Source organism: Homo sapiens, chromosome 7 (assembly GCF_000001405.40).
Source record: "Homo sapiens chromosome 7, GRCh38.p14 Primary Assembly".
NCBI lineage: Eukaryota > Metazoa > Chordata > Mammalia > Primates > Hominidae > Homo > Homo sapiens.
Window position 1 is genome coordinate 44,170,969 of NC_000007.14, and position 21,410 is coordinate 44,192,378.

General features: G+C 49.1%; 1 protein-coding gene and 1 long non-coding RNA gene across 4 annotated transcripts in view, besides 2 other annotated features; one reads left to right on the forward strand and one right to left on the reverse strand.

Annotated features, from left to right (window-relative positions):
* GCK (glucokinase) overlaps positions 1-18,471 on the reverse strand; it is a 46,227-nt gene extending 27,756 nt beyond the window's left edge. For both annotated transcript variants that reach the window (NM_001354800.1, NM_000162.5), the window contains exon 1: positions 17,941-18,471. In NM_001354800.1, the coding sequence (NP_001341729.1) occupies positions 17,941-17,985 (45 nt within the window). In that variant the 5' untranslated portion in view covers positions 17,986-18,471. The remainder of the gene's footprint in view (positions 1-17,940) is intronic.
* LOC105375257 (uncharacterized) lies at positions 1,407-13,185 on the forward strand. 2 transcript variants are annotated; one of them, XR_927221.3, is made up of 3 exons: positions 1,407-1,487; positions 12,334-12,492; positions 13,016-13,185. It is a non-coding gene; the product is annotated as an uncharacterized LOC105375257 (long non-coding RNA). The 2 variants fall into 2 exon arrangements; XR_927222.3 differs by lacking the exon at positions 1,407-1,487 and adding an exon at positions 10,423-11,181.
* Positions 12,996-13,533: an enhancer, noted in NCBI's record as "H3K4me1 hESC enhancer chr7:44223563-44224100 (GRCh37/hg19 assembly coordinates)". NCBI's record gives its function as "activates a minimal SCP1, AML or CMV promoter by ChIP-STARR-seq in naive H9 embryonic stem cells {active_cell/tissue: H9 hESC(naive)}" and the evidence as "EXISTENCE:reporter gene assay evidence [ECO:0000049][PMID:30033119]".
* Positions 13,534-14,069: an enhancer, noted in NCBI's record as "H3K4me1 hESC enhancer chr7:44224101-44224636 (GRCh37/hg19 assembly coordinates)". NCBI's record gives its function as "activates a minimal SCP1, AML or CMV promoter by ChIP-STARR-seq in naive H9 embryonic stem cells {active_cell/tissue: H9 hESC(naive)}" and the evidence as "EXISTENCE:reporter gene assay evidence [ECO:0000049][PMID:30033119]".

Sequence of the window (21,410 nt, forward strand, 5' to 3'; positions counted from 1 at the left end):
GAGAAACCAGCAGGACAGTGTCAGGGGTGTTTAGAGAAACACAAATATTTGAGTGGCTCATACTTAAGGCACACCAAGGGAACACCTAGCAAATGAGGCGAGGCAGACGAGAAATAAACAACAGAGGGGAAACCAAAATATTCTGTCTGCTCAGAAAGAGAAAAGTGCTGCTGTAAATGGCATTTGGGCCAAAGGGGAAATCTGCATTGCATTACAGACCATTTATAAATGAATAACCATGAATGTACAAAATATTAAAAGTATGGCTAATAGCCAAAGCTGTCTCAGAGGAACATTTATGCCCATGAAGGCACTTACTATAAAGTAAATAGGGGCTGGGCATGGTGGCTCACTCCTGTAATCCCAGTACTTTGGGAAGCTGAGGCAGGAGGATCACTTGAACCAAGGAGTTTGAAACCAGCCTGGGCAACATAGTGAGACCCCATCTCTACAAAAATAAATAAATAAATAAATAAATAAAATATTAGCCAGCTGTGGTGGCGTGTGCCTGAGGTCCCAGCTACTCAGGAGGCTGAGGTGGGAGAATTGCTTGAGCCCAGGAGGTCAAGGCTGCAGTGAGCCATGATTGCACCACTGCACTTCAGCCTGGGCTGTCGAGTGAGACCCTGTCTCAAAAAAATAAACACAATAAAATAAATGGGCAATCAATGAGCAAGATTTGGTAATCTGATCAAATATAACAGAGAAGACACTAATAAACAACTATAGGAAATGGATGATTTTCAAAATATAATATAAATTATCAAAATGACTCAGGAGGACAGAAAAACCTGCACAGATGGATAACAATAGAAGAAAAGTTAACAGATGTGGAAAAATCTTCCTCTAACAAGAGTGTCAAGTCCAGCTAGGTTGTTTTTTGTTTTTTTTTTTTTTGAGATGGAGTTTTGCTGTGTTGCCCAGGCTGGAGTGCAGTGGCGCTATATTGGCTCACTACAACCTCTGCCTCCCAGGTTCAAGCGATTCTCCTGCTTCAGCCTCCCAAGTAGCTGGGATTACAGGTGCATGCCACCACGCCCAGCTAATTTTCGTATTTTTTGTACAGATGGGGTTTCACCATGTTGGCCAGGCTGGCCTTGAACTCCTGACCTCATGATCCACCTGTCTCTGCCTCCCAAGTGCTGGGATTAGAGATGTGAGCCACCGCGCCCGGCCAACAGCTAGTTTTTAAAAAACAAATATGGATACAGAAATGTCCAATGCAAGGCCCCAGCCAAGGAAGAGGCAGAGTCATCACTTATTGAATGAGGCGGTGACAGGCAAGACCTGTGGGCTGTTAGGGAATGTATGCGAGGGACACAGAGCTGGGACACTGAGTCCTGCATTCATGTTTATGACAACACAGAAACAATGGGTTGGAAGAATAACATCATAATAGCTCATGTATACTTTGTGCCAGGTGCTGTCCTAAGCTCTTCTATGGATTAATTTATTGGATCCTCACAACAGAGCTATGGAGAGATAAAGTAAGTTTCCCTTGTGACTCTTGCTAATACAAGGTCCAAACCCTGGCACTCTGTCTTCAGGGCCCACCCTGTGTCACTGAGCCATCCTGCCTCTGGCTAGCTGGAGGGAGGGAGAGACAGGCTGAGATGTCATTGCAGGAGCCACAGTGATGGGTGAGGGGTACTGCTGGGCAGTAGGTAGTGGGAGGAGAGGGCTGCAGACCCAGCTCACAGACACAAAAAGGGATGCAGGCCCAGGGTGCTTGTTAGGACCAGGGTAGAACCAGTCTCACCTCTTAGCAGACACACACATGAATAAACATCCAGAACATATAAAGAATTCTTCCAACTCAATAAGACGGTGACAACAACCCAATTTTTAAAAACTCACCAAAAATGCCCACTAAGCATACAGAAATATCTGCAACATTATTATTAGTCAATCATAGAAATGCAAATTACAACCACACTGACATATCACTACACAGTCACCAGAGTGGCTAATATTTAAAAGATGGGTGAAACCAAGTGTCGGGAGGAGGATGTGGAGCAATTGGAATTCTCAAACACTGCTGATGGAAATGCAACATGGTACAGGCCACATTGGAAAACAGTTTGACAGTTTTTCTAAGTTTAAACGTACGCTTAACCACACGATACTACTCCTAGGTATTTATCCCGCCAATTGAAAACCCCTGTCTACACAAAGACTTGTACTTGAACATTCACAGCAGCTTCACTCATCATAGCCAAAGCCTGGAAACAATCCAAATGCCCATTAGCTGGTGAATGAATAAATGGATGAACACACCGTAGCACAGCCATACAGTGGAATACTCACTGCTCAGCAATGGCAAGGGAGGGAGGATTGACACACTGCTGAGCTAGGCATTATGTTAAGTGAAAGAAGCCAGACACAGAAGACTATATTCTCAGTGGTCTCATGTATAGAACATTCTAGAAAAGGCAAAACCAAGGGGACAGAAAACAGATGAATGATTTCCAGTGGCTAGGGTGGGAGAAGTGATTGACAGCAAGAGGTGGGGCTGAGGGAATTATTTGAGTGATGGGAAGATTCTGCCTTAATGGTGATGGTGGTTATATAACCATATACATTTGATAAAACTCATCAAACTGTACACTTAAAAAGTGAATGTTACTGTATGTATATTATATGTTAATTTTTTTAAATGGAATCTCCGTTTGTTATCCAGGCTGGAGTGCAGTGGTGTGATCTTGGCTCGCTGCAACCTCTGCCTCCCGGGTTCAAGTGATTCTCATGCCTCAGCCTCCCGAGTAGCTGGGATTATAGGCACCTGCCACCATTCCCGGCAGGTGCCAGTGAAGCCATTGTTCCAGCTCACTCAGTGGGACTTGGGACAGGAAACAGGAGATCTGGGGAGCTGGTGGGACGCTTACTAGCTACCTGACCTTGGATGAATGATTCGTTCCTCCAGAGCTTCTGTTTCTTCACCTATGAAAAGGGAGAAGATGCCACCTCATTCTAAGGAGCTGCATGGGGACTAAAGGAAAAATCTTGACACTCAAACGCAATTTTCTGTTGTTACAGGGCCAAGGAGCTCTGGGCCTGAGAGGGGAAGAGTCTGGTCAGCATTGCCCAGTATTATAGCTGGATGTTTGCCCACCGGAACCTCATGTTGAAATTTGATCCTCAATGTTGGAGGTGGGGGGCCTAATGGGAGATGTTTGGGTCATGGGGGCAGATACTTCATGAATAGATTAATGCCCTTCCTTGGGGGCAGGGTGTGAGTTATTTCTTACTCTATTAGTTCTCAAGACAGCTTACTATTAGGAAGAGGCTGGCACCTCCCTGCCCCCTCGTGCTTCCTCTCTCACCATGTGATATCTGCACATGCAGGCTCTGCTTCACCTTCTGCCATGAGTGGAAGCAGACTGAGGCCCTCATCAGAAGTAGGCATTGGTGCCATGCTTCTTGTAGAGCCTGCAGAACTCTCAGCCAAATAAACCTCTTTTCTCTGTAAATTATCCAGCCTCAGGTATGCCTTTACAGCAACACAAATGGACTAAGACACCAGGACCCCCTGAAAATCAGCAAGGTCATTGGCAAAAGCAAGGCTATCCAGCACAAGCCTCTGCTTCTCCTTCTTTCTTCTTTGTTCTTCCTTCTCCCTCTCCCTCTCCTTCCCTTTCCTTCCCTTTTTCCTTCCTTCCTTCCTTCCCTCCTTCCCTTTTCTTTCTTTCTCTTTCTTTCTTTTCTTTCTTTTTCTTCTGCTTCTGCTTCCTCCTCCTCATCTTCCTCCTCCTCCTCTTCCTCCTCTTCCTCTTCTTCTTCTTCCTCTCCTTCTTCTTCTTCTCCTTCTTCTTCTTATTCTTCTTCTTGTTCTCCTTGTTCTTCTTCTTGTTCTTCTTGTTCTTCTTCTTGTTCTTGTTCCTCTTCCTCTTCTTCTTCTTCTTCTTCTTCTTCTTCTTCTTCTTCTTCTTCTTCTTCTTCTTCTTCTTCTTCTTCCTACTTTCTTCTTTCTTCTTTTTCGAGACAGGTCTTGCTCTGTCACCCAAGCTGGAGTGCAGTGGTGTGAACATGACTCACTGCAGTCTCAACCTCCTGGGCTCAAGAGATGCTCCTGCCTCAGCCTTCCAAGTAGGTGGGACTACAGGTGTGCACCACCACACCTGGCCAATTAAAAAATATTTTTGTAGAGCCAGGGTCTTGCTATGTTTTCCAAGCTGGTCTTCAACTCCTAGGCTCAAGCAGTCCTCCCACTTCAGCCTCCTAAAGAGCTGGGATTACAGGCATGAGCTATCAGACCTAACTGCTTCCCCTTCTTCTTCAGGTCTCAGCCCAAAGGTCACTTGGAGAGCATCACTGTATTAGGCTGTTCTTGTGCTGTTATAAAGAAATACCCAAGACTGGATAAATTACAAAGAAAAGAGGTTTAATTGGCTTACAGTTTTGCAGACAGAACAAGAAGCATGGCGTTAGCATTTGCTTCTTGTGAAGTCCCTGGAATCTTAAAATCATGGCAGAAGGAGAAGGGGGAGCAGGTGTCTCATGCAAGAGTGGGAGCAGGAGAATGAGAGGGGGCCAGGCTCTTTCAAACAACCAGCTCTCACGTGAACTCACTCATCACCAAGGGGATGGCACTAAACCATTCATGAGGGATCTGCCCCCATGACCCAGACACCTCCTTCCAGGCCCCACCTCCAACATAAGGAATTACATTTCAACATGAGATTTGGAGAGGACAAATATCCAAAGTATATCAGTCACTATCGGAAAACACTTCATGTTCTATTTGTTTATTGTTAATTGTCTTTGCCCTCTAAGAGGCAATGCCCAGGAGAACAGGAACCCAGTCTATCTCATTCAGGTCTCCAAGACCCAGGGCCTGGCCCATCGTGGGCTCTCACTGCTCAGCAGCTGCTCTATGACCTGCAGACCAATGCGGCCTTGAGCTGTTCCCCAAGACCAGGCTCTGGTCTCACTTTCCCAGCATCTTGTGACTCAGCACTGGCAAGGTCTCTGGGCTAGCCCCTGGGCTGCAATAGGAGCAAAAATGGGGCAGTTGTCCATGCGTGCTCCTAGGGGTGGGATGGATACATTCTTGCCCTCTAACATCCAGTTCCCCTTCCTTCTTGCTCATGGAACCTCTGTTTTATTCAGGGGTCAAGTAGTAATGGACCCAGCACTGGGGGCTGAATACCCTGGACAAATTCACCCTGCTGTCTTCTGCTAGAGCTGGCTTCAGTACAGTGAGATGTGAGAAGGAAGGCCTCTGGGGAGATATGGTGGGGATCCCCTTCCCTTCTTGTTTCCAGAACATTTTTGGGTTTGTTTGTACCTCCTGTGCCTGTGGCGGCATCTGGCAGATGTGGGGAAGGTTAAGAGAATCTGGAAAGCTGACCCAGAGCCTGACACCAGGCTGAGAGCTGCCTGCCTCTGGACTCTTTCTTATGTGCTTTGACAATACCTGTTGGTGAATCCAGTTTTAGTTGGGTATCTGATACAGCCTAGACAACCCTAACAGACACGGTGGGCTTAACAGGTCGTTCTGTTCAGCTCCACGTGAGAGGTGCTCCAAAGAGATGGAAACGAGGCGTAGTGGGCACAAAATGTAGTTACCGTTTACAGGGTGGGGTTTGGAAAAGCAGGTGAGGCAGCAGCTGGGGAGGTGGAGCTCCCAGCCAGGTGACCAAAATCCAGTGCTGTGCTGGAGAAGGGTTAGCAACTGGCTGTCCTGGGAAGCAGACCTGACTGGCAGCATTTGCTGCCTTCTGTGTTGTCGGCACTTCACCTGATGTCACTCAAGGGGGAGTTGAGCAGAGGCCGTGCCAGTGCCCCTCCTGAACTGCAGCTTGGAGCCCTGGGTCTGTCATAGAATCACCCGATGCTTCCCTGCTCTGCCTGCCTCCAATCCAAAGATTTCCTCAACATCTGATCCTCCTGACCCACCCGGGCCAACTTGCCCACCTCTGAGAGGCTGCAGTTCTCATGGGGATTGGTTGCAGATGCACCCACTGGCTTGACGTGGTGGGCTGGGCTGTGTCTGAAAGGACTGAGGGAAGCAAACCATTCCACCCATTGTCTTTGTCCAGCATTACCAGCCCAACCAGCCAAACTCAGGCCACTCAGGCCAATGCTGCCCTTCTGGATTTCCTGGGAGGGTGAACCACATGCATGTCCTTTGCAACCACATTGAAAATCTATTGGAGAGCTAATTTACTAATCGCAGGATCACTCCCTAGGATTACAATACTCTAGGGTTTTAAATGAAAAACCGTATGATGCCCATCTGAAAACTCCATCTAATCCCCCCAATATCACAAAACTCTCCAAATATAGCAATCCACAAAGGACTTCTGCATAATGTAATGTATTTAAAATACCAAGTACCTAATGATATAATCCCTGAAGAACTCAGCAGTGGGTACATTTGTATGTAGTACGTGATGACCCTGTTCATTTCAGATGCTGTAGGAGATGCTATGGGTGCCTGCTGGGCCCCTGTGCCTACCCCCAGCTGCCCAGGGCTGAAGAGAAGAGCTGGACTTCTTTCCTGGGACTTACTCCTGATCTACAAAGTTACTTCACCTAGAAATACCTGGGAAGTTACGCCCTTCCCAGGGCTGGCGGAGAAAACACATTATGTTATGCACAATTTGGGACATATACTAAAAAATAATTTGTTGTTTATCTGAAATTCAATTTAACTGAGTGCCCTAATTTTTTATTTGCTAAAGCTGGCAGCCCTAGCCTTTCCCCAGGGGCCTCCAGCCAGTGACTGACTCATGTAGGAGCACAAAGGCTGGCCCCTGCCTCAGAGGGACAACTCTGTGATGTCATTCACATTTGAGAGCTCCCTGCTGGGTCAGACTGAGGCTCAACTGCTGCTGAATCTGTACCTTTGCCTATTTCTACCCCATCTCATCCTGAGAGCACCCTCCCACTCAATCACAGGTGCCAGAATCCTTATCTCAGGCTCTGCTTCAAGAACCTAACACAGTATACCAGGGGTGGTCCTAGAAATCAGCCTATGAGGGCGGGACTCTGGAGTTGGATCACTTCCCAGCTGGTTGCCACCTCACTGGTGGTAGGAGTACTGACAGTCTCTGGCACATTGCAGCAGTGGATCGCCAAGGCCCTGCCTGTGGGGAGCGGGGATGGGGGTAGACAGGGAGGTACTTTCTTACTCAGTGTCTCTGGCACCGAGGGTGTGGGGGAGATGCTAACCCGAAGGACTATGCCACTGAGACCTGTGGATCAGTGGAGTGATGCATGGAAAAGAGAAAATGGCAGGCTCAGGTCTATCGATTTAAAGCCAAGCCTGAGAGCCAGAGGGTCTTCTCGGCAGTGTTCAAAGAGATGCTTGTCTCCTGTAGTGAGGCAGGCAGAGCTGGAGACCAGGCATAGGACTCAATTGTAAGAGCAGTAGCAGAACTTCAGCAAGGGCTGAGTCCTCCACCAAGGCAAGCCACGGCCCTGATGGGAAGGAGTATACACAATGGTATGCTGGGAAATGGCCAACAATCTGCTGTCTAGAGATGCGGGATGCCCTGGTTTGTAGCATTTTCTGATTTTCATGGTTTAAATACACCCACCATGGCCCATTTCCAGCTACTGACATAGTGTCACTGAATGAAGATTTGGAAAGAGATGTGTACTACTGGTTTTCTAATGTGCTAGTGAGTACACTTGAGAATTTTGAATTGCCAGATTCCCACGAGCCACCTGCATCTACAGAAGTAGTCTTGCTGTGAGAAGGAGGCCTTTTCTCTCTTGAAAAGTATGCAGATGTCTGAAAGAGACAAGTGCCCCAGGAGAAAATGAGTGCCTTCCTCAGGATCGGCCCCTACCTCCCCTCCTGGCCACAAGGAGGGTCAAATCTCAGCATGGCCCAACTTGGACCTGTCAAGGAAGAAGAAAAAAATTGTATGCCAAAGGAACTCAGTCTTTGGCTAACAAGTACTAGCAGGAAGTGGGAGACTAGATCCCAAAAGTGCTGGATCTTATGCTTGCAACAGTCCCAAAGGTGCTGGATCCTGTGATTGAGACCAGATCCTGAAGGTGCTGGACTGGGGCAGGTGGGATATCAAGAGGATAAGGGGACTTTGCTGATGTGGGGGCATTCTCCTATGATGCAGGATTTAACACCCTAGCAAGGGTCCCAAGAGAGGGCTCTGATATATTGCTGGGGTTGCTCTTGGTAGCTTAGAAAAAGCAACAGCTCGATTAAATGAAGCAGGGATGCTTGAGTTTACATGGTGGGCCAAGAGGAAGTGATCAAAAGGATAAAAGAAATGGGGCAAAATATAACTGACCTACTCTATAAGATCAAAAAGCCTGTAAGCTGGCTATGTTCCCTGGAAAGGCAGGGAAGACACTCTGCTTCCCAGGCTGTAAAGAATCTGCTGGTGTCGGGCACATGGCTGAGGCTCAGTAGGGCTGTCCTTTGTAGACCAGAGTTGATGGGAGACAACTCTTTTTCAGAGCTTCTCCCCCTAATGGCAGTGGGGATGATAGATCACTTAAGGGCAGAGACCAGGGGCAGCACTTAGAAGCATATCAGAAGCAAAGTGGGAATAATTATCATATTGGGCACCAAGGTCAGACTAACAACTAGAAGGGATTAGCTTATAGGGGTCTAAGGAGAAGGCTAATAGAGTGTTGGATTCTTAGGGGCTAGAAAGGATGAACAGAAGGCCAAGGTCAGTCACCCCAGTGGAAAGTTATGATGGAAAGGCACAGTTTCCAAACCTCAGCCAGTTCTCGAACCAGAACCCATTGACTGAAAGAGGGACTGGGTTCCCATGAGGAAAGACTCTGTAGCACCACAGCAAGTGTGTATAACAGGAACCTATGGCTATTTATATTCGACCACACTGAGTAAGGGTAACACTCAGATCTTTTGATAGTGATTTCATAGCAATTCACACTTTTTTTTTTCTTTTTTTGAGATGGAATCTCGCTCTGTCACCCAGGCTGGAGTGCAGTGGTGTGATTTTGGCTCACTGCAACCTCCGCCTCCTGGGTTCAAGCAATTCTCCCTGCCTCAGCCTCCCGAGTAGCTGGGATTACAGGCACCCACCACCACGCCCAGCTAATTTTTGTATTTTTTAGTAGAGATGGGGTTTCACCGTGTTGGCCAGGCTGGTCTTCAACTCCTGACCTCAGGTGATCTACCTGCCTCAGCCTCCCAAAATGCTGGGATTACAGGCGTGAGCCACCATGCCCAGCCAGCAATTCACACTTATATCTAGGGTCCCAAAGTGCTGTCATGGCTGTCCTAGTAGAGTGCAGGCTTATTGGGGTAAGACGACAAATATAGTTCTGGCCCAGGTATGTCTCAAATTGGATCCACTAGTTCTGTGTATTCACCCAGAAATCATTTCCTTGGATCCCGAATAAATCATTGGAATGGATATACTTAACCATCAGAAGAGCCCTTACAATGGTTCCTTGATTTATAGAATAAGCAACATTTGTAATAACAAAGGCAAAGTGAAAATGCTGCATTCCCACCCAGCCAAAACAGAAAAACACAAATCTGGAGGGATGGCAGAAATTATTACCATTCTCAAAGACTTAAAGGATGTCTAGTACTTGTTAGCCAAAGACTGAGTTCCTTTGGCATACAATTTTTTTCTTCTTCCTTGACAGGTCCAAGTTGGGCCATGCTGAGATTTGACCCTCCTTGTGGCCAGGAGGGGAGGTGGGGGCCGATCCTGAGGAAGGCATGCATTTTCTCCTGGGGCACTTGTCTCTTTCAGACATCTGCATACTTTTCAAGAGAGAAAAACGTGATATGATGGTCACATCATATCAACCTTTCATTCTCCAGTTTGATCTCTGCAAAAACTGGTTGGATCAGTCCTGACCCTTAGGCTATGTGATTGGCAAATCTGATGATACTCTGCATGGAATGTGAGATTAGGCCCCAACAGGAGTCACTGTCCAAACCCCTAGGGCTCCGGACCAAGGTCATGCCATCTGCAGCAGAGAACCAAACACCACTTGTAAAGCATTTCCTGGCATGCCACTCAGCAGAGTGTCTGACCATAGGACATTAAGTGACCATGTGGCCATAACTGCCCATTATGAGTTTGGTGCTGTCAGACCCACTAGGTCATAAGCCATCCATCATAAGATGGAAATGGTATATCTGGAATCAGGCTTGAGCAGGTCCAGATGGCACAGATAAGCTGCAGGGACAGGTGGCCCAGACCCACCTGCCATCTACCACTGTTGCACGAATATTGGCCCCTGTGCCTCTCTTTCACCCACATGCAAATATGGCCTCCTGGTGGGGGGTGTCTTTTGTCTAGCTGCTGGAGGAGGGAAAAACCCATCTATGCATTGATCATGGATAGGTTAGTTTGGAATGTTGATGCAAGCTGGAAATGGACTTCTGCTGTACTTCAGCCCCACTCAAGGTGGCCCTGAAAGACACTGGGGAGAAGAAATCCTCTTAGTAGAGTTTTGGAGGGTGCACCTGCTTATTCACTTTGTGTGGAGAGAGATGTGGCCTAAGGTAAATATAGACTCATGGACATTGGTGAATAGCTTAGCTCGTTCTTCAGTAGCTTGGAAGGAGCAACATTAGAAGATTGTGGAAAAGTGGTGGCATGGGGAAAAGTTGTAGAGCTAAACCTGTGTGAGTGGGCACAAAGTATGAGACATTAATGACAGCCAGAAACCACTTCTTGTGGAAGAGGCAATAATAACCAAGTGGATAGGATGGGCAGGCAGCTGAATGTCGGCCACCATGCACTCAGAAATAGATAGTCATGGAGTCAGAGAAGGAAGCCATGCCTGTGCCCAGAAGCATACATTCCCTCTCATCAAGGCTGACCTAGTTTTGCTGCTGTTGAATGTAAGAACTGCCAGCAATAGCGACTGGTGCTGAATTCCTGGTATAACACTGCTCCTGGAGGAGACCAACCAGCCACTACTGGGTGACAAGTTGGCTAAATCGGGCCCCTTCCAACCTGGAAAGGGCGGCATTTTCTCTTGACTTGGATTGACATGTATTCCAGCCATCAATGGACTTGCCTTTCCTACCCTCAGTGCAGCAGCCTGTCCTGCTAACCAAGGAATCACAGATAGGGTGGTGGAGCATCCTCTTGGAGGCACAGTGGAGCTGTCATCTTGAAGATGACACCCATGAGGAGGGCCCAGTCTCCTCCAGAATGCAATATGCACTCTAATGGCTATGGGATGAGGCCATGTTCCTGAAAGGTAAAATATGTGGGTTTGGGAACCAAGAACTCTTCATCACTCTCCATGATCCACTTGGGAAATTTGTGCTTCCGCCATTCACAACTTTAGGTTTTGTGGGTCTAGAAGTCCTGGTTCTCAGAGGGGGTCCTTCCACCAGGTGATACATTAACACATTCACTAAATGTACAGCTACAATTGCCTCCTGGTCATGCTGTGCTTCCTTGTGCCAGTAGCCAAGCAGGTAGAGAAAGGTATTACCATCCTGGCACAAGGAGCAAAATGTGGCAATTTACCCTTGTCATTAGGAGGTAGGACTACCGCTACATAATGGAGCAGGAAGAATATGGCTTGCACTCAGATGATTTGCCAGGGTGTTTCTTGGTAGTCTCATGTCCAGTTGTAATTGGGAATGGACAACTTACAACAACAATAGCCTGATAAAGGAATCCAGGATTCAGATGCCTCAGGGATAAGGGTTTGGCTCCTGCTCTAGGGAAGTCACCTAGACCAGCAGTGTTAGCCAAGGGGAAGGGGACACTAGAATGGATGGTGGGGATGGGGCATGATGGTGAGTATCAGTGACAGTCTTACAATCACATGCAGAAGTGGGCATTGTAGTTCATCCCTCTGTTTCTCCAATTGTAAGTTTTCCCTGAAGCTGTGCCTGGATGGAGAGAGCTTAAAGTGGAAAGCAGTAGGTCTGAGCAGTCAAGGGGTGGACTGTAGTGCCTGCTGTTGGCACCTCACTGGCTGACTGGCCTGCACACCCAGCCTTTAGCCGCAGTGAGCAGCAGCTGCAGACTGCTCACAGCTACACCCTTCTCCTGAGAGTTTCCTGGAAATGCCTGGAAGATCTTCCCTCCCCACTGGCCCTCAGCTGGTGGCTTTGATACAGGTACAATAGGCTGGCCCCTCTCCCAGGAGGGACAACCCTGTGATATTCTTCATGCATCAGAGCCCTTGTGGAACCAGACTGAGGCGGACTTAAGCTGGACCTGCCTTTTTGACTGGCTTCTTACCTCTCGTTTTCTGTCCCCCCAACTTCCTTATAGCTTCTGCTGACAGCGCTCCCGCAAACACCATTTTCCAAGAATTCCAATCTCAGGCTCTACTTCTTGGGAACCTGACCTAAAACAGATACAAATCATGTTTTCCCTTCCTACTGTGCAGGCTGGCAGCAGACAAACGATGCAGGCAGGCAGTGAGACTCAGATTGGGTCCTCCTGTCGGAACAGCTGGGATATGATGTCCATGCCCTCTCCCAGGACCCAGGTGGAACTTGAATACTGATTCATCATACTCACTTTTCATTTGGAGAGTGAATTTTGGGTAAATGACTTTGCAATCCATGAAAGTGAATACTCAGAACGTTTTCAGGTAGCAGAGGATCCCTGTACTTCCAAGACAGAGTGTTCATTGAGATCAGCCTCACAGCCGTGCCCTCTGGATCACAGCCCAGGAGCATGGAAAATCCCACTTCTTGGCCTCTCCAGCACTCCCCTTTCCTACTTGTTTATTGGCTGGGCTGATAGTTGCTGGTTGTCTACAACAAAGATCCCACTGGGGGGGCTAATACTCAGGTATTGCCAGGTAAGGAATGCTGTGAATATCACTCCAGGTCACAAGTGCTTGTGTTAGGGGACTCCTGGGACTACGAAGGGTTTGGTAAGAGTAATCTGTGTTGAATCTAGCCTCATTTCCTTTTTCTTTCTTTTATAGTTTTTAATTTTTTGGTAATAGAGAACTTCGAAGTAAGTAAAGGAGATAGTATAATAAACCCTGATGTACTCACTGCCTGATATCAATAATTGCAACCTTAATTCATTCCAGTATATTTTTACATGTGTTTCAGACTGAAATAAAGGGAGATGTTCAGCCTCAGGTGTAGAAGCAGTGAGACAATTTCCCACCACGGAGGAAGATGAAGAGCAGGAGAGGAGAGGCTGGCGGCTCCCAGGAGCAGATCACCTGCCCCCACTGCAAGGCCCCCGTGTGCTCAATAAACTGACCCTTGCGCAGAGACTAAGGCTCACTTATTGGAAACTATTATTGTTACAGTTACTAAGTAATTAACAAGTGATGCATAGGGCTGGTCAGTTATGTGACTATACGTGCGCGTGTGTGCACGCACGAGTGCATGTTTAGTTCATTACAGAAACACCATCATTTCTTTGTAATCAGCTGAAATCACCACTCATTAGTGGGCCTCTCGTGGGCTATAACTGATTTTACAGCCACCTGTCATTTCTTTTTTCTTTACAACTTTGTGCGTTTGTGTTTTTCATGGCATGCTCAGGGTACACTATGTTCTGCACGCAAGCAGGGGGCTGCACGGGCTCCAGCTCCCCTTCTCAGGCACGTCCCTCTCGATGTAATGTGTAGGATGGAACTTCTTCCCATGCGCTCTGTGAAGGGGCCCCGCAGCTCCCCAGCTGGACAGCTGCTCTGGAGACTTTGGCAGGGCTGGGCACCTGTGGAGCCTGAGGCCAGACCCAGGGAGCCACACTGTGGGAACCACAGGGCACCTGGAACATAGGTTTAATCCGGGCCTGTCTGTGAGTAATAGTGTCACAGTGGGAGGGCAGGAGGCAGGGTGAGTCAGTGGCTCCTGGAAAGGGATCTGTCATGACTCACATGGCGTTTCTTCCCTCATCCTTCTATCCTTCTACTTGCAGGACTTTCCTACAATTCTGTCTGTGCTGGTTCACGGTTATGTAGCATCAGGATGGGGCTCCCTCTTTGCTCAGGCCAGCAAAAGAGAGACAGAAAGAGAGAGAGAGATTGAGAGAGTGAGAAAAACAGATATACACACACACACACACAGAAAAAGAAACAAAGCGAAATACAGAAAGATAGACACAGAGAGAGAGTGAGAAAAACAGATACACACACACACACACAGAGAAAAAGAAACAAAGCGAAATACAGAAAGGTAGACACAGAGAGAGAGAGAGACAGAGTGACAGAGACAGAGAGAGAATACTACAGACAGACACACAGAGAGACAATGAGACAGAGAGAGAGGGGGAGAAAGAGACAGAAAGAGAGAGATACAGAGAAGTTCACACAGCTGTGAGGGGGCTAAAGGAGGAAGTGTCCACTCCTGAGAAGGGAAGGGAAGAGAAAGGCAGAAGGAGGGGCTGGGCCAGGTGTCCCAACACAGGGATAGGAGCACACAGGGGACATGCCTGGGCTGCCTCCAAAGGCCTGGCTCAGCTGAGGAATGACAGACTCCACAAGGGGCTTCCCACATCAGATGGGCCAGAATGTTCCCCTGGAGGTCACTAAACAGGGGCTCAAATCTCTCTTGCCTTGGGGTGGCTTCAAGGCAGAGGCCAGGGGCACTTTGTGCCTCTCTCCATCTGTCCCCTCTCCTCCTGGGGGTCTTGCTGTGGGCAGGTGCAGGTGTGGGCCTAGCTGCATCAGTCAGAGGGGCTCACGCTGGGGCTTCTGTGGCCCACTGATCCCCTGGATCTCACTAATGATGTCCCCTTTGGCTTGCTCCTGCCCTGGGGCTTCCTAGACATAGCTACTCCTTCTGAGGGGTCCTCATCCCCAGAGGCCTGGGCACAGGCAGCAGAGTGCTTCTCCTGGGGACAGCCCCCACTCTTGTCACCTCCCAGCCTGGCCCAGCCTCCTGTCCTGGCTACAGCAGGGGCACTGGGGTTGTGACACGGCATATGATGGATGGCCCAGCCCTGGTCCCACAGATGCAGCCCCAGCCCTCACCCCCACACCAGCTGCCTGCCCACAGCGTGCCCATTCCCTGAAGTCAGGGACCTGTCACTGCTCCGCTAGGCCTTGGCGCTGCCTGCTCCTCCCACACGGGCCCCTCCTCCCAGCACACCTGCTTGGGGGCCACCTGGAGCTTTGCACTCTGCACACCTGTCTCAGAGCAGGTGCCATGGCAGTATGGGGGGGCATCTCTCCTGCTGGGGCCCAGGACAATTCCTGCCAGGGATGTGGGTAAGCATGATGGAGTGCACCTTATTCCATCCTCATTCCACTTCTGAGCCTGCTCCTTCAATGGGGCAAAGGTGTCCAGGGCAGCTGGAGGGAGGAAGGTCAGTTCCTCCCGGCATGCCCTCCTGGTGTTACAGATTGAATTGTGTCCCCCCAGATTCATATGTCAAAGCCCTAACCCCAGTGTGATGGTATCTGGAGATGAGACCTTTGGGAGATAATTAGGTTTAGATGAGGTAAGGAGGGGGAGCCCCCATCATAGGATTAGCATTCTTATAAGAAGAGACACCAGAGAGCTTGTTTTCACTCTCTCTCCACGATGTGAGGACACAGCAAGAAGGTGGCGGTCTGCAAGTCAGGAAGAGAGCCCTCCCTGCAACCTGACCATGCTGGCATCTGATCTTGGACGTCCAGCCTCTAGAATAGTGAGAAATAGATTTCTGTTGTTTCTAAGCCATCAGTGGATGGTATTCTCTTATGGCAGTCTAAGCTGACCAATACACCTGAATCTCATCTTTCCAGGCTCCTTCCTGAAAAAAGGTCACCAAATCTATCAGGCAAAGTTAACCAGATTTACTCATCTGTCCTTAGTGAGGTGAGAGTGAAAATATAGACCAAAAGGTCCCCAAGAGGGATGCCCAGGGCCCTATTTCAGGCCACCCAGAAGTGGTGGCCCAGTAAGGGATGAACCTTGATGCCAAAGGAATGAGTCAGCGATGGTGGGGTACCAGGCAACTGCAGCTGGTAAGAAGGGGCTTATGAGGGGTGGGAGTAGTGTCAGTGGAATCAGGCTTGCCCCTAAGGAGCTGACATCCACATGGAGAAGTCACTGGGCACAGGACTGAGGCCACAGGCTCCTGCAACCACAGGTAAGATCTGGAAGGTTGGTACCGGCAAGACGGCTGCTCTCAATCAAAGAAGTAGAAAGAGGGAAACCAGCAACACTTTACTTTCCTCCAAAGCAACCAAAAGGAGAAAGAAGACAGTTCCTCCTCGGTGTCTGCACAGAGACAACCACAGCTGACGTCTTGGGGACAACTTTGAAAGTGGAAGGAGGGCATTGCTCATTGCTCCAAGGTCAAACACTGGCTTGGGGTAGGGGCAGCACTTCCCAGAGACACAGGACTGGACTGAACCTGGGTGGGCCTGGACAGCCAGCTCACTTGGAAAACATCAGATCCTTAGGATGACCCTAAAACCAAGATAGGTTCCCCCAAGACAAGGACTGAGTCCTCTGTGCAGCCAGAACAGGCAGACAGGAGTGGCCATTGCAGCTCCACGCTTCCCTCATCCAGGCCTTGGCACCCTGCGATCCAGGCACTAGAAGAGGGGTAGACTGGGTGGAGAAAAGTGCAGAAGCCAGTGATACTCATCCTGCCTTTGTTTAGAATTTGGTATGTTGTCCATCATAAATTTTTTTTGCATTCATTTTGATTATTTAAAATAGCATATATCTTGATGATTGATGTTTCTGGTGACCCCTTAAAGTTTGTGCCCGAGGCATTGCCTTGCTCCACTCTTGGCCCTGACAAGAATGTCAGTGACTTCCCAGGATTCTGGGGTTCACAGCTGGCCCTGGTCAGGACCAGCAACCCCTCACACGTGGAGCAGATAAAGGATGGGGCATGGGCAGCCCCAGAGTCTGAGACTGGATGCCCAGCCTAAGAAGGTGGTTCACTCACATGCCACTGTGAATGCAAGGGGCTCAGGGACAGCTCTGCTGTGGCCTTTATTAAAGTGATTCCCTGTGCACACATATGTGCACATGCATGTACACATGCAGGTATGCACAGGCACAAACATGCACACATAGCACATTCACACATAGGCACACTATGCTTTCTCTCCTTGTTTGGGGAAAGTGCCAGATCTCCACAGCCCACATGTCCACCTCTCCCTAGCTCCGAGCCATCTTTCTGGTCATGCCAAAGACAGCCGCTTCCTTCTCCCCGGGTGGCCTGAAGGGGCCCTTTGGGCAGGATTTCTCATCCAAATTGCTGCCATAGCACCAGTGACAGGCAGATCTGGGACTTGGTTGGGGCCTCGGCCGGTCCAGCTGTCTGGCTGCGCACCCTCTCACTTGGGTTGGTTGTTTTCCTCCTAACATCATTAGCTCTGCCAGAAGCACAGCCAGCCCGGGGTTTATGCTGACCTGGTCATTTCACACAGAGGCGAGAGGGAAGCATGCCCAAAGTGACTGGCTCTGCCCACTTACCCCTTCTCCCCCACTCTGCCTGGGCCCCCAGCTGGGGTGATGCAGGCACATTCCCCCCAGTGTTTCACAGCAAAGTCCCCTGTCTCCAGCTCTCTCCTTGCTCACTGCTGGGCTCAGGGCTGGCTCAGAGCATGCCTGGATTTCTCTTTGTTTTTGGAAAAAGTAACTGCCCTGCACTCCTCAGCAGGCCACAGCAGCCCTCGGGCTCCCTGCGAAGTGATTCCTGGTAGGAGGCAAGGCATCTTTGACTTGTCACCATGTCTAGTGAGTGTTGTCTCAAAATCAGGTAGTGGGCTTTGTCCACAAGACCTCATGTCCCTAACCCCCACATCTAGGGCTCTAAACTCTCCAGAGCCCCTCCCCAGTGGAGGCCACTGCCTGGACCTCTTGGCAGCCTGACTTCCGGGTCGCAGGACCAGAGTCCAAAGCTGGATGGGTCTGCCAGGCAGTAGGGGCCTTCCTGCCCCAGAAGGCACCCCTGGCAAGACCCTTCTCAAAGAGCCTGTGCATAAAATCAGATTCTGAGGCTCAAACAAACCATGGAATGTTGGGGACAGGCAAGCAAACACTCCCAGAATGCCCAATGGAGGGCGAGATACCTTCTCCTTCTTGGCGGCCTCCATCCTGGCTCTGTCGTCCAGCATCTGCACAGCAGCCAGCGTGGGGAGCTGGGACCCCTCAGCCTTCCCCAGTAGGCTTCTGAAGTGGAAATATCCAAGGCTTCTCCGCCGCAGGGGTCACGGCCCGCCCTGGGTCCCTGGGAGAATGTGGTTCTCCTCGGGCTGGTTTGGGGTTTGAGGTTCAGTCACAGTTTCCTCCTTTTCATTGTTCTCCAACGAGTCGGCAAGCATTCCCTTCTGGACCCTTCCTCACTGAGCCTGGATGTTCTCCAGGCAGGGCCATTGCTGGGCGCTTGGGTGGCGTCCTCAGCGCTTTCTCTCCTGGTTGTGTTGAGCTGTGGGGCTTAGTGTCCTTCAGACAGATTCAGTGGGAAATGTCCTCTCCCTTCTGTGACCTGGGGACAGCTTTTGAGTAATTAGGCTGCAGGTGACTGTGTCTCTCACATCCTAGCCTGCTTCCCTGGGGCTCAGGCGCCGCTCGGCATTTCCTGCTCCAGCCAGGTGTGGAGTGGGGGATTCTCCTGCCAGGGCTTACTGTGCTCCTGAGAGGGCCTGTGGTTGTCATGGTGACCAGGAGTGGCCTCAGCAGGGCTGACCATCCTGTCATTAGAGCTGCCATGCATAAAACTGGGACTGGTGGCAAAGAGCCTCCATCCCCATCACCATGGTGACCACTCAATCGCCTTGTCACTACAGTGACCGCTAGCCTGTTAAGCCTTTGCCACCTGTTCAGATCCTGGGGCAGTGTCTCAGGGTCTCCCACACTCCTGTTCTGATGAGCAGAGGATCCCGTGAGTCTGGAAGCAGAGGAAAGGGAGCAGGCAGCTTGGCGTGGCTCAGGAGCAGGCCCCTGGGACCATCTCACATCCCTAACCCCCCTATCTAGGGCTGTAAACTCTCCAGAGACCCTCCACAGTGGAGGCCACTGCCTGGACCTCTTGGCAGCCTGACTTCCAGGTCGCAGGGCCAGAGTCCAAAGCTGGACAGGTCTGCCAGGCAGTAGGGGAGCCCATCGGAGGGCTTTGGCGCGGCCTGCCCTGACTATCTCCTTGAAATCTGAACCAGAACAGTACACCTGGCCCACACAAGCCTGGCTGAGGTTGACACTGTCAGAACAGAGGCCCACAGGGACTGGCTCCTCCTCTGGCCCTGCTCAGGAAGCTTCAGCCTGGGATGCCACCCACTCTCCCCTTCGCAGCCCAAGTGCCCCTGGAGAGGTTGCCCTGTGCAGTGGGGAGTCCCAGTGAGTGGATGGAGCAGGGGGCCAGGGTGCTGGAGCCAACTCAGCTGCGGGCTCAGTCAATAGTCTGGAACAAAACATACTTCTGCCTAAGTCACTGAGGTCTGGTGTGTTTTTCCCACTCGTGGCCCTTCTCAGTCAGGATCGGCCACTTTTCAAGTGTCCAGCGTGACTGGTGGCTACCATATTGGGTAGTGTCGGTATAGACCAAAGAGGGCTCAGGACCCAGCTCCAGGCCACCTACGCTCAGAGGTCCAGCAGAGGGGGTGAGGAGGAGTGGCCAGTGCGATCTCTCCAGACAGATGTGCTGTAACACTTTAAAATCAACTTCCTATTGACGGTCATTGAGGCAGTTTCAGATTTTCACTATTACGAAGCAGGCTGTGGCAGAAGTCCTTGAATTTCACCGGAGTCTAAGTGTGTGTCAGTGTTTCTTCTGGATGGCTCCTGGAGGCTGAATTGCTAGTTCAAATGCTGTACACATTTTACATCTTGGTAGGCAGGACCACGTGGCCTCTTCACATGGCTTCACCAGTTTCTTCTGCCAACACGAGAAGTTTGGCTTTATCTTGGCCAATCCTTCAGATGATAAATCTTTATGAGTTTTTTGCCGATCTGTCACCTCATTGTTGCTTGAATTGCAAAATGCTGGACACCTTTTCATGTGTTTCTTGGTGATTGCATTTCTTCTTCTAAGGATGATTTGTTTACATTACTTAACTATGTTGCTATTGGATTATCTTCTGCCTATGGACTTGGAGAAACTATTTTATATTTCATCTGTAGTATCTATTAATCCTTTGTCTGTTAAATATACTATGATATCTCCCCTAGTCTATTGCTAAACTTAACAACTTGATTAATCGTGTCTTTCATCATACAGAAGTATCTAGTTTTTATGAATTTCAACCTTTGTTTTCTTGTTTTGGGGTTTTTATATCTTGTTAAGAAAACCGTTTCCAATCCCCAAATTGCAAAAATGTTCTCCCACATTTCCTTCTAATATTTTTCCAAGTTTTCTATTTGTTCAGTACTTTAGTCTTTCTGCAATTGCTTGTGCTGCGTGCACCGCCATTATGAGGGCACACCTCACATCCTCGCCTTTCTTCTCATTCCTCTTTTCTGCTCTCCCGGGTCCTGGGAGATGGTGGTTTGGGTATGGTGCAAGGGAATCTCTAATATGGCTATTTGGTGGTGAAGCAATCCCTTCCCCACTGCTCTGGAATGTTGGCTTTCTTATAAATCTTAGCACTACTCATCCCACTTCGGAAAATAATGCTGTTGACAATTTCATTGGAAATACATTGACTTTGTGGGTTTAGGGATTCATTTTAGAGAACTAACCTCTTTATAATATTGAGTTTTCTCATCTAGAAGTATGTGTTGTTTCATTTATTTTGGTCTTCTTTTATGTCCTTCAGGTGAATTTTATTATTTTTCTCATATATATCTTACACATTTCTTGTTATATTTATTCCTAAAGAAAGGCAATACATTTATTAGGAGAAGGAGCAATTGTCATTATAACTAATATTGATGAAAACATTTATGATTCACAAAGTACTTTTGCATTCATTCTGTCATCTAATCAGACAATCTTAGTGTGGCAGGCAGTGGTATTATTATTATTATTTTATTTTTATTTTTTTGAGACAGAATCTCGTTCTATCACCCAGGCTGGAGTGCAGTGGCTCGATCTCCACTCAATGGAACCTCTGCCTCCCAGGCTCAAACAATTTTCATGCCTCAGACCCACGAGTAGCTGGGACCACACACGTGTGCCACTGCACCTGGCTAATTTTTTGTACTTTCTTTTTAGTAGATATGGGGTTTCACCATGTTGACCAGGCTGGTCTCAACTCCAGACCTCAGGTTCCGCCTACCTCTTCCTCCCAAAGTGCTGGGATTACAGTAGAGTGGGGAGGGAGCGGCTGAAGCCAAAGTGTGGAATGTCTGGCCACCACACCTGGTCAGTGGTAGTATTATTACCACCACTTTCCAACTGAGGTCGCTGAGGCTGGGGAGGTTAAAGGATTGGCAGGGACGGTCTCCCCAATTTAATGTCTCCCTAAGGGTTCCTTACCATAGCTTCCTGCTAAGGACAGGGGCCAAGGTAGTCCCTCACACAGAGGTCCCAGGTTCTGCCACATGGCCCTGCCCTCCCTGGACACAGCTGATGAAACATCACCTGATCCAAGAGCAGCCACAC